Source organism: Homo sapiens, chromosome 11, assembly GCF_000001405.40.
Source record: "Homo sapiens chromosome 11, GRCh38.p14 Primary Assembly".
Classification (NCBI taxonomy): Eukaryota; Metazoa; Chordata; class Mammalia; order Primates; family Hominidae; genus Homo; species Homo sapiens.
In genome coordinates this window covers 56082547-56098430 of record NC_000011.10, presented here as the reverse complement: position 1 = coordinate 56098430, position 15884 = coordinate 56082547, and the positions used below count along the sequence as shown (strand labels likewise).

At 32.8% G+C, this 15884-nt stretch overlaps 1 protein-coding gene and 2 pseudogenes across 1 annotated transcript; 1 reads left to right on the top strand and 2 right to left on the bottom strand.

Annotated features, from left to right (window-relative positions):
- On the top strand, nucleotides 1048-1188 carry OR8I4P (olfactory receptor family 8 subfamily I member 4 pseudogene; annotated as a pseudogene).
- OR8I2 (olfactory receptor family 8 subfamily I member 2) lies at nucleotides 4191-5123 on the bottom strand. Its single transcript, NM_001003750.1, has one exon. It carries the CDS (start codon nucleotides 5121-5123, stop codon nucleotides 4191-4193), a length of 933 nt encoding a protein of 310 aa, NP_001003750.1.
- Nucleotides 14695-15630, bottom strand: OR5BE1P (olfactory receptor family 5 subfamily BE member 1 pseudogene; annotated as a pseudogene).

Sequence of the window (15884 nt, the reverse complement as noted above, 5' to 3'; positions counted from 1 at the left end):
TCTATGATATCAAAAATCAATTTTACTGAATTTAGTTTATTTTCATTGACTAATTTGTTTCTTCAGAAGTTTTTGAAATCCTTCTTGAAATGAAACAAGTTTTAAAAAGAATTTTTAAAAACTTTTGATACAAAAATTTATCTTAAAGTTAGTGAAATAGAACACAAACTCAAGGAATACAAATGGTAGACAGGAACATTACAAGGGCACCACTGATTAAACAGACAGAACCAAAACTATGTATTTTTATTTTGAAGCCTTATGCATCAAACATATTTTAAATTGAGTGTTTTTGTTCAGCATATTCAAAAAGGAAAGAGATATCTGGACTATTGCACAGAGTAGGATACTGCCAGGGACTTAGTTTCAAAGACTACAATTAATCTTCTGATGTGGGAAAGATCAAGAGTGCTGGAAGAGTGAGGCACAAGGAATGACTGGAAAAAAGGCAAGGTTTATCCTGGAAAGACTTGCATTGCAGGATCTAGAGGGAAGGTGCACACAGAGCAACTAGAGAGAATGATGGAAGATATTAATATACTAGGGGAAATTGTGAGAAGCATATTGAGAAGAGTATGTATGGACATTTAGGCACAATTTTGGGTAAATAAAATATGTTGTTATGTGTTTAGATGAGCAAAAAAAAAATGTGGTATGATTTTGCTCCTAGAAACAGATTAGCAATAAAAATGTTAATAACTTTCAAAGATAAATTTGGTACATAATTTTATTAATACTAAGTAAATAAGAATATTTGAAATTATCTATAGAAAAATATAAATTCAGTACAATTAAAAGTAAAAATGCATACACTAGAATCAGGGTAAACATAATAAAGTGTAAAAGTCATGATGTTTTATACACTTATAAAAATGATCATTTTATTTAGAATGTATGAATGTGTAGTGGTAAAGTGAATTTCCATTTCCCTCTGAAGTTTCAAGTCGGCTGTAATGATCTGACAATAGATAAACAGGAGAAAAGGCATGCACATCTATTAATCTGCATAAGCACAAGAGCCACTCAAAATATGAGATTCAGAGAAGTCTTTGATGACCCAGGCACAGGTGGCATCTGTATTCTATACGATTGTCATTCCCATGCTGAATCCACTCATCTACAGTCTGAGGAACAAAGATGTGAAAAATGCTCTTCTGAGAGTCATACATAGAAAACTTTTTCCATGACAAATTTATGTATGTTACAATTAAAACAAAGGTGGATGGCTTCAGGAATTCAGTTATGCCAACAACTAGGAAAATAGTAGAGTAACCTCAAAAAGCGTAACACAAACTAAATGAGAACTTAGAGTCTTGAAGTTTGTGAATTGAATTATTATTTCATTTGTTTGTATGGACCACTAACTCACTGTATTTGGAGGTCAATTCGGCATATAAATTATTCAGACATAGACATGTACAAGGAAATAAGAGGCACCTGAACATGCATATACAAGCATGCCATCACACCGAAATATGTTTAAAATTATTACATTAAGAACATGCAATTTTTGTCATTCTGTGCCCAGCTTATATCACATAACTGGATTGTTTGTATTAGACTGCTGCAAAAGTAATTGTGGTTTTTTGTCATTAAAAAAAAAACAACAAAAACCGCAATTACTTTGCACCAACATAATAACTCAATGGATATGATTGAGGCCTAAATACCCTTTTCACAGGGGAGAAATGAATGAACCCAAAGCATAGACTGTTTATAAATGATTCTAGTAGGAAACTGAATGGAACCAGCAATTTAAGGGAAGGGACAGAACATTGTTGTGAACAAATGCCATCTATTATGCTGATAAAATCTCTTACATAATCTCTTGGAGATCCCTTCAGAAGAATAGATGAACCCTATGTGTGAGTATGGTGACAACTTTTAGTCTCTTCTCTTCTTCAGTGGTTAATCTTTCCTAGTTAATTAATGAGATACTAGAGAAGGCATTTAAGACAATTACTTTTCTTTTTATTGTTGTTTATTCATTTGCTTTATTTTTTAATTATTATTATACTTTAAGTTTTAGCGTACATGTGCACAATGTGCAGGTTAGTTACATATGTATACATGTTTCAGAAGATGTTTCCTCAGTCAGGTAAGAAAATTCCAGAGCATGTCCTTCCCTGTGCTTGCTGGGAGGGAAACAGAGAAGGTTAACAAGTCTTTGGCTCCAAGGCAGCTTCTAAGGCCTTGCAATTTCTTATTTCAAAGTGATCAGTATGCCAAAGCATCATTCTTTGCGATATCATTTTCTAAGCCCCAACCATGTGCACACCCAGGTCCATTCACATGAGCTATCTTCAGCCACTACCAAGACTGAAGACTGATATTCTCTTTACAGAAGTAGGTTTGTGACTATGGAGAGATGAGAATTCCTAATCAGTTGTCTTCTATTATTTAAATTCATATATGCGGCATACAGCTTTGTATATACTTAGTTCCATATTCTAGCCATTCTGAAAAAAAAGTCATTTGGGAAGAAATATATCTGTAAATCACTATGCCATATTTAATATATGAATGAGAAATGTTTGAGAAAGAATTCTAAAAATAGAATTTCTAACTAAACTGACGTTTGAATAAGATTATGTACAAAACTGCACCAAAGAAATATACAAATATGAGTAAGACAGACACTGTGGCCCTAATGAATTCATCACTGTGCTTCCACACACAAACGAAAACAAAAGAAAATATTTACTTATATACTTCGTATTGATACATTTGCTAGTTGTTATGAAGTGCACAAATAAGAAAAGGCAAACTTTTCTCTCAAAGAGCTTACAATCTTGCTGGAGAGTAATATTATAAGCACATACATTTTCTTTTAAAAGAGCCTCATCAAATTAATCTTCCATTCCTTTCAACATACATATGATAGCCCAACTCTGATAATTGTTCATTCATTCATAGACATGAAAGGCAGTACTGATAAAACTTTTTCGATGGTTACCTTCTAGCAACACCTGGGAGAGTTCGTTAAATCAGGTTTAAGTCTCTTTGCAAGAAAAGCACCATCTCTCCACCCCACACACACGAACACATACACACACATTTTCTTCCTTTAATACTGTAGATTTAACAATGTCTTTTTGTTTGATTTGGTGATGCAAGAATCTGTATAAATCCAAAATGATCTAGGGATTATGCCTCAGCTAGTGAGACATTCTATGAGAAATTAAACTCTGCTGTTTTTATTAGAAAAAAATGCCATAAACTGATCACTTTTCTATGTAAAAAAAATTGTGTTCATACATACATGATCAAGAACTTAACCGTTAGGGGCAAATGACTCCATATTATCAAGAGATTTCTCCATACTGCCTGGTGTCTGTTGTTCCATTAGTGTTTGCACTGAAATTACTTCAATCGTTTATTTTTCCCTGTGGCTAATATTGCTTTTTTATTTTTGTTTGTTTCTTTAGTTCCAGACTCTTTGCTTTCGGGTGATCAGCATTTTATATTTTTTGTAAAATTTAACTGTTCTTATCTCTTAATCTTCCAATTTCTTATTCTCAATTTACTAGTAGCTGAGAAAACAGTGTAAGTTTATATTGCCAATTTAATATTTTTTTTTACTTTTTAAGGTTTTTTTATTTTTAATTTTTGTGGGTACATAGTAGATGTCTATATTTATTGAGTACGTGAGATATTTTGAAACAGACATGCAATGTGAAATAAGCACATAATGGAGAATGGGTTATCCTTGTTATCAAGCATTTATCCATCGAGTTATTATGTTGGTGCAAAGTAATTGATGTTTTTGCTGTTTTCTTTTTTAATGACAAAAAACTACAATTACTTTTGCAACAATCTAATACAAACAATCCAGTTATGTGATATAAGCTGGGCACAGAATGACAAAAATTGCATGTTCTTAATGTAATAATTTTAAACATGTTTCAGTGTGATGGCATGCTTATATATGCATGTTCAGGTGCCTCTTATTTCCTTGTACATGTCTATGTCTGAATAATTTATATGCCGAATTGACCTCCAAATACAGTGAGTTAGTGGTCCATATAAACAAATGAAATAATAATTCAATTCACAAACTTCAAGACTCTAAGTTCTCATTTAGTTTGTGTTATGCTTTTTGAGGTTACTCTACTATTTTCCTAGTTGTTGGCATAACTGAATTCCTGAAGCCATCCACCTTTGTTTTAATTGTAACATACATAAATTTGTCATGGAAAAAGTTTTCTATGTATGACTCTCAGAAGAGCATTTTTCACATCTTTGTTCCTCAGACTGTAGATGAGTGGATTCAGCATGGGAATGACAATCGTATAGAATACAGATGCCACCTGCGCCTGGGTCAGCGATGATGTGTTATCAGGTTGCAAATAGGTGAAAATCAGAGACCCATAAAAGATAGTTACAGCCATGAGGTGGGATGCGCAGGTGGAGAAGGCCTTCTGCCTGCCTGCTGCTGACTGGATCCTCAGGATGGCTGAGATGATGATGATATAAGTGACTGTGATGATAAGGAGAGAGCTAAGAAGAGTGAATCCAGCTAAGACAAAGCTCACCATTTCTGTGCCGAATGTATCTACACAGGAGAGTGCTAAAAGAGCTGTGGTGTCACAAAAAAAATGATTGATGCTGGAATCACAGAACGCCAAACTGCTTATCACCCAGACAGATATCAGCGAGCTTGTGAAGCCTATCACATATGGCATTACTCCCAGCCAGTTGGACACTTTTTGGGACATGACTACTGAATACAGTAAGGGATTGCAGATTGCTATGTAGCGATTGTAGGCCATTGATCCCAGAAGGAAACACTCACAACACACCAATCCAACAAAAAAGTACATTTGAACAAAGCAGCCAACAAAGGAGATGGATCTCCGATTGGATTGGAAATTCACCAATGCCTTAGGTGTTACAGTAGAGGAGTAAAATATGTCAATAAATGCTAAATTGCTCAGGAAAAAGTACATAGGGGTGTGAAGCTGAGAATCCATTCTGATTAACGTGATCAGTCCCAGGTTTCCCAAAACAGTGAATAGATAAATGAAGAGAAACATCAAGAAAAGACTGACTTGTAATTCAGGGTGATTTGCAAATCCAGAGAGGATGAAGACGGTAACCTCAGTGAAATTGTTGCCAGCCATTTACATCAACTCAGGCCTTTGACTTACCTGCTGAATAACAATAAGGAAAGTTAGAGAAGGATTCAAATCTAAAGGCCCTATAATCAAATTTGACTTAGACTCCAATCATGAAAGTTTTACAAATGGAAAGTAAAATTTAATGACCTGAAGTTAGCTAGAGATTTACGGATAATTTTTATTTTTTATAAAACTGAAAACTTACAGACATTAATACAGAAAAAAACTCAAATTCACGATTGTGTAGACTAAAAAATACATGTCTGGAAAGATGTGTAGAAATTCCTCCTAAGATGTACCATTCTCTACCCCTGTCTGTCATTGGGTCTGGCAATTTATCTAATGAAATCAATTGTATCTAACAAATATAGCAAATTATCAAATGAAATTAATTGTATCTAATGAATATAGCAACTTATCTAATGAAATCAATCTGTATCTAATAAATATAGCAAGTTATCTAACAAAATGAATTGTATCTAATGAATAGAGCAGTTTATCTAATAAAAAATTCAGTGAGATAAGACCAAATGAGGGCCTTCATCTATAACATAGTTTAAATTCTTTCATGTATGTTTGTTCAAACAACATGATTGTTTCTAGATATATTGCATATATTAATCTATGACATCAGGTGCTAGCCAATTCATTGCTGAACAGCAGTTTTTAAGACAATGATATAAATAAATGTTAAAAACAGTAAAACAAACCTGATTTGTTACATTTAAAAATAAGAATTAAATTATAAGGTGGGCATGCTAGAAACTAAAGAACTTTATTGCCTAATTAACTTAACATAAATATATGACGAATAAATGCATTTGAAACTAGCCCGCCAAGCAAAGTTAAATAATCACCTTTGTTTAGACATTTAGCACTCTCCTTGAGTAACCAAATGGGACTTGATAATAATTATTATCAATAATAATAATATAACATATTATTCTTATTATATATCACATGTACTTAATCATTTAATGTGTTCCATGGTCACAGTGTTCCTATTTATCCATTCATTTACTTGACAAGCATTTATTCAATGAAGGCATTTTGTCTTGCCTGTCATGAAGGGCATTTTTCTTAAAGCCTAATGTAAGATGCAGACATTAAAAAAATAACAAGTTTCCCAATGTGAGAAACATGCAAACTATACTCACAGACAGACAGACACACAAATTTTAGGAAAAAGCAGATGAGAAAATTAGATGTACCTGGGATTCAGTCACCCAGAGGAAACATCCTATGTTTCAGCAATCTTTCACTTATTTTCAAGTTCATTATTTTTGCCTCATCTACAATGCTAAATATCAAATAACAAAAGTTGTTATTTAGTATAGAGCTCTATTTCCTGTATAATGGACCCTAAATGTTATGATGTTGATGAAAAAATGTTGATGGTTTTGATGATAGTATTAGGTACTGTATATATTACCTTTCATTGATAGGCTAGAAATAAGAGCCAAATTAACTTCTTGTTAACTTGTTTTTTGTGCACATTCTTGAGAATTAAAAATTTATATTTTTTGCTCAAGTCTGGATTCCTATTTAGAATTGTTTTTGTCTTAGTGTATTTCTAAAGCAATCCCATGACAAAAGATTTTCTTTTGAAAGCTCATGTGTTAAGCAGTATTCTTATACCTGCAACTTTTCCTCAAACTCACCTAATAAAAATGTTGTTCAATTAGCATCTTTGATCTCTTGAGATTCATATTTTAATCATACTCCAGGGTCTATTCTTAATTTGCCTAGGGTATATCTCTAATGGAAGCATTAGGAAATATATATTCCTCATTTTTGTGTTTTTCAGTTAAACGGCAGCAGACACATTGAAAAAATCAATTGATTTCGTTTTAAAAATCATGTTATTTTAATGTTATTGGTAGATATATAGACGTGAAACATGTATGAAACACTAAATTATTATGAAACTAAAGGAGACATATGATATTAGGGAATCTCAGATAGCATTTGTCTGTTTCCCAGATAACCCTCCCATGAAATGGAAGTAAGCTTTCCTACTCACTGATTTAATGCTGTTAACATGTGTTGAAATTATATTACCATCTATGTCAACAAACATGGATGTGTCTACTTTTAACTCAGGCATTCAATTATTTTTAATTGTGCTTAAAGGTATATACGTAGTATCATTGTCTGATAATAAGTATGCCATCTAGGAAAATGAACAAGAAACCTGCGGTACAAATCAAAGTCATGTTCTCCATTTAATGCTCAATTTATGAGTAAATACAATATTTCCCACAATTGTATTCACATTATCTCTTGTGTTTGTTGGTTTCAAAGCAGCTTCCTAGCCTACACTACTGTATAGATTCTGGTTTATTAGGTCTGATGTTGACCCATAAAATTAAATTTTTCAAAATGCCCCACATTACATGGCTTATACTTTGACAAATACTAGCTTGGAAGGATCTCACAGACTTGTCTAATGAAATTCTTCTTCTACTGTGATTGTTACAGTCTCTTATATCACTTATATTTTAAAAGGGCTTATTTTTTAATTGACAAATAATAGCTGTATATATTCTTGGGAGTACATAGTGATGTTTTAAAATACATAATATACAGTGATCAGATCATATATATCTATCATCTCAAACATTTATCATTTCTTTTTGTTGGGAATATTCAATATCCTCCTTCTTGCTATTTGAAACTACATAATACATTATTGTTAACTATAGTCATTGTACAGTAGTACAGAACAATAGAACACATTCTTCTTATTTAGCTGAAATTTTGTATCTTTTAACAAATCTCTCCCTAGTGTTACATAATGAAACACAACAGATTCCTTACAGGAAAAAAAATGTATATTTTTGTAGTGATAGAAACCATCTCTAATATTAGAGATTTTAAAAAAGGGAATCTATTATAGACGTGCCATATCACTTACTGATGCTCAATATTATCAGATATTAGGACAAAATAAATGGTATACAGTAGGCTCCCATTATCTGTGGTTTTACTTTCTGTTGTTTCAGTTACCATTGGTCAATCAGTCTGAAAATATTAAAAGGAAACCTTCAGGAATAGACAATTCATAGGTTTAAATGTGCTTTTCTGAGTATTGTTATAATGATTCCATTTTATAAGTAGTTATTGTTATTAATCTTTTACTGTGTCTAATTTAAAATTAATCTATATCTCAAGTATGTATGTACAGGAAAAAAAAACAGTATATATCGAGTTGGATACTATCTGCAATTTCAGGTATCCACTGGGGGTCGTAGGTTCTTTGAGGATAAGGAGAGACTACAGTAATTTCTTCCCCCACTAAGTGCGCAACTTGAGAAAATAAAACTTTGAAAGAATTGGGTTGTACACCTGCAATGTCAATGTTTCATCTACCCTCTTACTTATTTGTTCAACACAAATTGATTAAGCAGCCGTTGGATGACAGGCATTATGCTTTGTGTGAAACATGAAAATAATATTTCTCCTTTCACACTACCTAGTGTTAATTGCCTCTTTCAAGATTCAAATTTTGTCTCAGCTATTTAATGTTCTGATATTTGGTGAACTAATATGTATAGTGGTCACAAATACACAGTTGATATAGGGACTATTGTTGACCATATTACAAGATAAATAGACATTTAATAACTACTTGATCAATTGAATTTACATTTTTTCTATACATCTATTTTGGTTTCTGTCAATCAACTCTTTTTAACTTTTTTATTAAATAACTTTAGACCAACAGATTTTTTATAAACACTTCTTCTAGCTTTACTAATGTTAAAATTAATCACAGTGTGAATATTAATACTTAAGAAATTTATATTGATAAGATAATATTAGCTGAACTACAGATTTAATAATTTTACTAAATTTTCCACTAAAGTCCTGTTTTCCTCTTCCAGGATCCAATCCAGGATGCCATGTTGTGGTTATTGTCCTGCCTGCTTAGGCTATTGGAGTCTGTTCCTGTTCTATAGTCTTCCCTTTTCTTTCATGACTGTGATAGTTTTTTTAGTACGTCAAATATTTTATAGGATATTCTTCAATTGAACTTTGCCTGATGTTTTCTCCTAATTAAGTTGAGGTTTTCCATGATTGAAAAGAGTTCCAGAGAGGCAATCTGTAAACAATCCTCCATTTTATCACAGGGCATATGATGCTGATAGGTGATATGGCTAGTGATATTAAATTTGATCACTTAAAGTAGTGTGTGCCAGACTTTTTTACTGTAGAATTACAATTCTTTCTTTGTACTTATTAAATATTTATTTGGGAAAAGGTAACTTAGACTATGTAAATATTTCATTACTACTTTTTACCATTTATCAATATGTTTGTTGCTTGTAGCAATTATTACTGTGGTATTTTGGTAGAAATTTGTTATTTCCCTTATTCTTTTAATATATTGAAATTATTCATAAAGGTAGAGTTATTACTTCTCCCCTATATATTTACTTATTCAGTCTTCTATTTAAACCAATATGCACTCATAATTATTTACTCTTTGTGTTATATTCCATGCTGACATCATTTACTCTGTTGCTTAAAACTAATGGAACCACCATCTAATTGGCTCCTGGACTCTATGTTCTTTGAACATGTCCCTACCTTTTAAAATTCTTTCCATCATTGTTGTTTTTTACTCCTTACACTCTACCACACAAACTGTTCCAGGTCATCTTGTATTTTCCTGGACTCAACTCTAAAATTAACCACTTCTCTAAGAATTCTTGCTTTTATGAGACTACGGCATTTAGAAAAAAAGGATCTGAACAATATTTTACGATTATTACTTGTGTATTTATATTTTCCCTTAATAATAAATCACACATATTTTTAATACTTTTACATTCTCAACATTTTGTAATTATAACTTCAAAAAATGACTTTATGCTATAATGGAAAATGGTTATATTTGGAAATGTCTAAAGAGACATGTAAGCAGTCCAGTGAATTCTTATTAAAAGGACAATGTGTAGAAGTATTATGACTAAAAACTTTGCTCTGAGGTAAAATTGAAGATACATTAAAGGAGAACTAGGTAGGCTGCAATGGAAGACATTAGGAGGCTCTCAACAGTTAAGATTAGCGAACATTGGAGCCTGAGCTGAAATGGCAACAATGATAATTAATAAAGAAAAAGAAACTTATCCGGAGGGTTTCCGAGATACAGAATTACCAAGACCTATTCGAATAAGTATTTGAAGAAAATAAAAGAGATATGGGGCCAGGTGTGGTGGTTCATGCCTTTAATCCCAGCACTTTGGGAGGCCAAAGCCTGCGAATCGTGAGGTCAAGAGATTGACACCATCCTGGCCAACATGGTGAAACCCCATCTCTACTAAAATACCAAAAAAAAAAAAAAAAAAAAAGTAGCCGAGCATGGTGGCGCGTGACTGTAGTCCAAGCTACTCGGGAGGCTGAAGAAGGAGAATCACTTGAACCCAGAAGGCAGAGACAATGGTGAGCCGCGATCCTGCCATTGCACTCCAGCCTGGCGACTGAGCGAGACTCCGCCTCAAAAAAAAAAAAAAAAAAAAAAAAAGAAAGAAAAGAGATTCCAGATCTGTGCTCACTTGCCAGATATTTGGCTTGTGTAACTGAGTGAATGCACACATTTTATTCAAACAAAATAATATAAAAATAGAAAATGGGTGCACAGAATGTAGTGATACTAGTTTTAGAACATTGGGATTGAGGAAGTTGAAAGGCATTCAGAAAAATAACTATTTGTCTTGAATGAGATGTAAAATACTCAGATGTCCAATAAATGTGAGTATCTCTACGCAGATTTTCTTAGTTATGTTTGTTAGCTTGTGGAACAAATTGCCGTTTCACGGTATGTACAGAAAAATGCAAAATGCAAAATGGACTGAAGTTCAGAATGCTTAGTAAGTCATGAGATCTAATGAAAAAAACATATATTCTGTCCAATACTTGGTTTTGTCATCAGAAGAACAGATGAGAAGTTTCCCTTTAATTCTTAATTTTTCTGATTTTAAAAAATCACATGAAAACAGTAAAAAGGGCCGTTTTCATTTTTTTCATATTTCTAAGTTAAAGTACATTTGCTAGCCACCAGTAAAATGTCTCATTGTTGGGATGGCCTTCAGAAACCAACACACATAACCATCCATCTGATATTCAAACCTCTCCCTACAAAGTATCACCAATTGTTCACTTTAGCTTAAATCTTCCAAGTGATGTTTATCACTGGATCTTGGGGTAGTCTATATTGAGTTAAAATGTGTTTTCACGTAGCATATAAGTAGTTATTATTAAATATACATTCAATTGACTTTGAACTGCATTTGTTCAAAACTTTTTAAATTTTAATAATTGGATTCCTTTGAAGCCTATAAAACAAATTTAATCCCTTCTTTTCATGGCCTGTTTTCAATAAGAGAAAATTATAATTTGTTCTCTAACCCTTTCAATTCAATATTCTCCACATGATGTGTTTTTATTATCCTTAATACTTTCCCCTGCAAAGAACTTAAACAATTTGGAACATGTTAAATATACAATATCCACAGTTACACATATTAATTCAAGATTGACTACTAAGGATTAAAGTAGATCATAAACACTTTAATCGTAGCATAGAAACACTCCTTTTCATTTATATGTACATGGATTCTTATATCTATATAAAATATAGACATATAGATATATGAAATCAGCATTGCATAACAGAGGCTTTTATTAGAAACCAAAATTAAACACAAATTTTTAGATTGACTATGGATCTAAAGAAAGAAACCACATTCACTCACATGCTGTAAAGTTAAACTGTTTTAAGCTGTTTTAATGCATAAAATTCATGTCAGAAACATGGTCATCACAATGTACAAAAGCAAATAAAGCAAAGTATAGAGACATATTTGCTTGAATAGGGTTATTTAGTGATTGTTGGAGAAATTATCCACAATCTAAGCTCTTGCTAGACCTGATAAATTAATTTTTGTTGCCTTTTAATATTACAAGCTAAAGCTATTGGGAAAACTTTCCTAACAATTGATAGTTTGAGTAACAAATATTCAAAGACTTCTAGGTTTCTTGTAGTTTTAATGGTGTTTCTAAATAATACCCCTCTGTGTAAGTTTATAGTATTTCAGAAAGTCTATCCCCTTGAATTTCATCTCCTATTATTTAATTTAATATGCTTCTCTTTTCACAATTTTGGTCCAACGAGCATAATCTCAAATCCATTACTGAGTAAAAACACAGAGAAACCTTACTTTCTCAAATCGTTTCTCATGAAGTTAGTATATAACATGTGGAAAGAAGATCATGATCAATTATTATATTTTCATTAATTTTCACATTGTTGGTTTTATCTCTTTTCCTTTTTTGAAGATTTTATTATACAATATATTCATTATTTCTGTTTAGTTATAATAACTAAACTTTTAAATAAATACAATAATTGAATTGCTGAAGTAATTAGATTCTATACAAATTTTTGGAAAATAATTAGTCAAAATATCAAAACAGAAATGTTTATATATGTTTTACCAAAAACATGCCATTATTTGCAATCTATGAAGATGAAAATAATTCAAAAAGTGGAGCACTTTATTATTATGTTGTAAATTACATTGTTAAATGTAAAAGCCTCAAGTATATAAGACCGAGAGAGAAATACTTTGGTAGACTTAATGTCGATTTAAATTTTGGTATGTGATTATGAGATATCTTTCAGAAAGCTGCTTTTTATGTCCTAGGGACTCCCTTATTAGGCAATATTTTTGCTTTCGAAAACTTGGTTATAATAATGAAGGTAATTACTTATTTTTTGGCAAATGCATATGCTGTTATCAAAATACTTGACAATGAGATTCTTCTGAAAGCAATTATGAGCTGTATAGAAACAATGAAGTAAAAAATGCTTTAACACATTTAATTATAAATTTCCATAACTTTCATTGTCAAGCAGTCTTAAACAAATTCATAGACTTTTATAGATTTTAACAGATAAGATTTATTGCTATGAACTCTGTTTGATAGATATAAACATGCCTTTAAAACCAAAACTATTATTCACTACATATTGCAATAATATCATTTAACAAACAGCATGCTTACATTCTTAACAATTATGAGAATAACAGTGCTGCTGGACTGAGATTTGATGGATGGCCAAGTGATCAGAACCATAAACACCATCTGGAATGATAGATGAACATAGGCCATGTGGGATTCAAAGAGCCATTTTGTTAAACGTGTAACTTTTAGCATTTTCAAATGGTTGTACTCTTTTACGGAAGTTCCCTGAAGGCTGATTTTTGGTGAATTACGATATTCTCTAATATAACAGAATAGCTTTACATTGTTGTTTTGGTTTTTCTGTTAACTGGCAGAATTGGAGTCACCCTAAAGAGAAACCATCTGTGACTGCAGAATTACTTTTTAAAATAAAATATGCAAATTTTCACAATTCTAGAAAAAGATGGCACATAAAATACAGGCAGGAAATTTAAAGGCCTTTTATTAATGTAAATGAGGAGGAGGTCTGTGTACAAGTATATAAGTATAGGCATATTTGAATTCTGGCTCTCAAATATTCATGTGGTCTGATCGTGGGTGAGTTTTTTTCCCATTGATGCTTGGTTTCAAGTTCTTGTTTCAGAAGAATCTCAAAATCTGCAAAATGGCTCAGCTCTTGGACGTCACTAAGAAGAAGGAGAAGTCAGTACACTTCCTTTAACCAATATTCCTTGAGAGATGTGTGTGTGTGTGTGTGAGAGTGTGTGTGTGTGCCTGTGTGTCTGCTACATGTCTCTGTGACTGTGCAGCTACTGGTTCTTCTATATTTTTTACGAAACTGAAGATTGTATTTTATAGTTAACCAATCCACAGAAAATGGGTGACAGTTTATTGCATAGGAAGTTAGATTTTCAGAATCACAATTTGGGATTTGAAAGGATTCAAATTATACCAAAGTGGCATAAAAATATTTTTATCTGAAGACATTTCAGATTCAACAAATGCAGAAAGAAGCTTTATCAGTGCTTTTCTTATACTAAAGACAGAGACTTCTGAGACTGAAACCTCCATAAATTGCCTCTAGCGGGAGGATTTTCTGCCTGGAAGAAGAAAGGGAACACAGGAATCTGCATAAAACGAACACTATCGGAAACTTTGTCTCCTATTTGTTCTGCTAAAAGTTCATTTGTTCTTCCCATAGAAGGCTTTCTCATCCTTTGCTTTCATGTGGCAAATTAGGTATATAAACCCTGGTCTCTAATTATTGAGCCAGTTCTTTTGTGTGCCCCTATATGTGTATGAGTAAACTTTGTCTCTTCTATTGTTAATCATTCCTTTGTCACTTTAATTAATGGGCCTTCTAACTAATAAACCTAAAAGTGTAAAAGAAATGTTTCCCAGATATATGTGTGTGTATGTGTATGTGTTCACATGTGTGCATGTATGTTTCTGAAGGCTAATAACAAATGCATTTTTGCACATACACTGCTTTGAAAATAGCTTTCTGCCTCCACCCCAAAAGTCCCACATATATTTAACAATGTACTTACCGCAGCACTGATAATAGTCTTAAATGTTTCTGGCTGAAAATTCATGTTCACTGAGGAAGTATTTTTCTCTTAATAATTATTTTTATGGCTTCTTTGACTTCTCTGTTTCTCACGCTATATATTAGAAGATTTAGTATTGACAACAAAAGTGTGCACTCCACAGGCAGAATTTTGGGTCTATCCTGTGAGTATCCAGGGTTGGCTCCCAGATAAGTAAATATCACTGTTCTGTAGAAGAGAGTCACTACCATTAGGTGGGAGGCACATGTGGATATGGCTTTATTTCTGCCCCTGGTGGAATGTATCTTCAGGACAATGAGTAGGATTACCAGATAGGAACTAACCACTATCAAAAAGGTAGTCACTGATGTTGCTCCAGAAAGGACAGTAAATAAAATCTTACTGTGTTGGGTGTTGGAACAGGAGAGTTGGAAGAGCAATGGAATGTCACAGAAATAACGGTTGATAACATTGGACCCACAGAAAGACAAACTGAGTAAGCTACTCAGGTGGGTGAGGGAGTTTACAGAGCCCAGCAGGTAAGAAACAGTCACCAAATAGATTCAGAAAGTAGGAGTCATGAGACCTTTGTAGTGAAGTGGGTGGCAAACAGCGAGATACCGATCACATGCCATGGCAGCCAGGAGGAAGCATTCAGTAGTCAGGAACAAGCTGACAAAGGAATACTGAAGGAGGCAACCGTGATAAGAGATGACTTTCTGTCCTGCTATGTAATTCACCAACATTTTAGGAATCAAGACTGAAGAATAGCAGAAATCTAAGAAAGCCAACTGGCTAAGGAAAAAGTACATGGGTGAATGGAGTTGGGCACTAGCCAGAATTATTATGATAATCCAAAAGTTGCCCAAGACAGTAATGAGATAGATTAATAGAAAGAGCACAGAAAGGACAACATTCATTTCAGGGTTATCAGTCAACCCCAGGAGGATGAATTCAGTTATCACAGTGACATTTCTGTCAGCCATTTATATGGCTGCCCTACGGGGGGGATCTGCAGGGAACAATAGGAAAAATAACCACAGAGTACAGCTTGAATAAATAAATTGCAGCTATTAACTTCTTTAGAAAATACATGGTTTCAATTATAAATAATAATTATCCATGGTAAACTTGAATTTTGCATGCAAAAGTTAGCCTGATACAGACCTTTGTTGGATCTCACTAAGGAATATAAATGAACATTACACACCACATAAGAACCTGTGGAGAAATTAGAGTT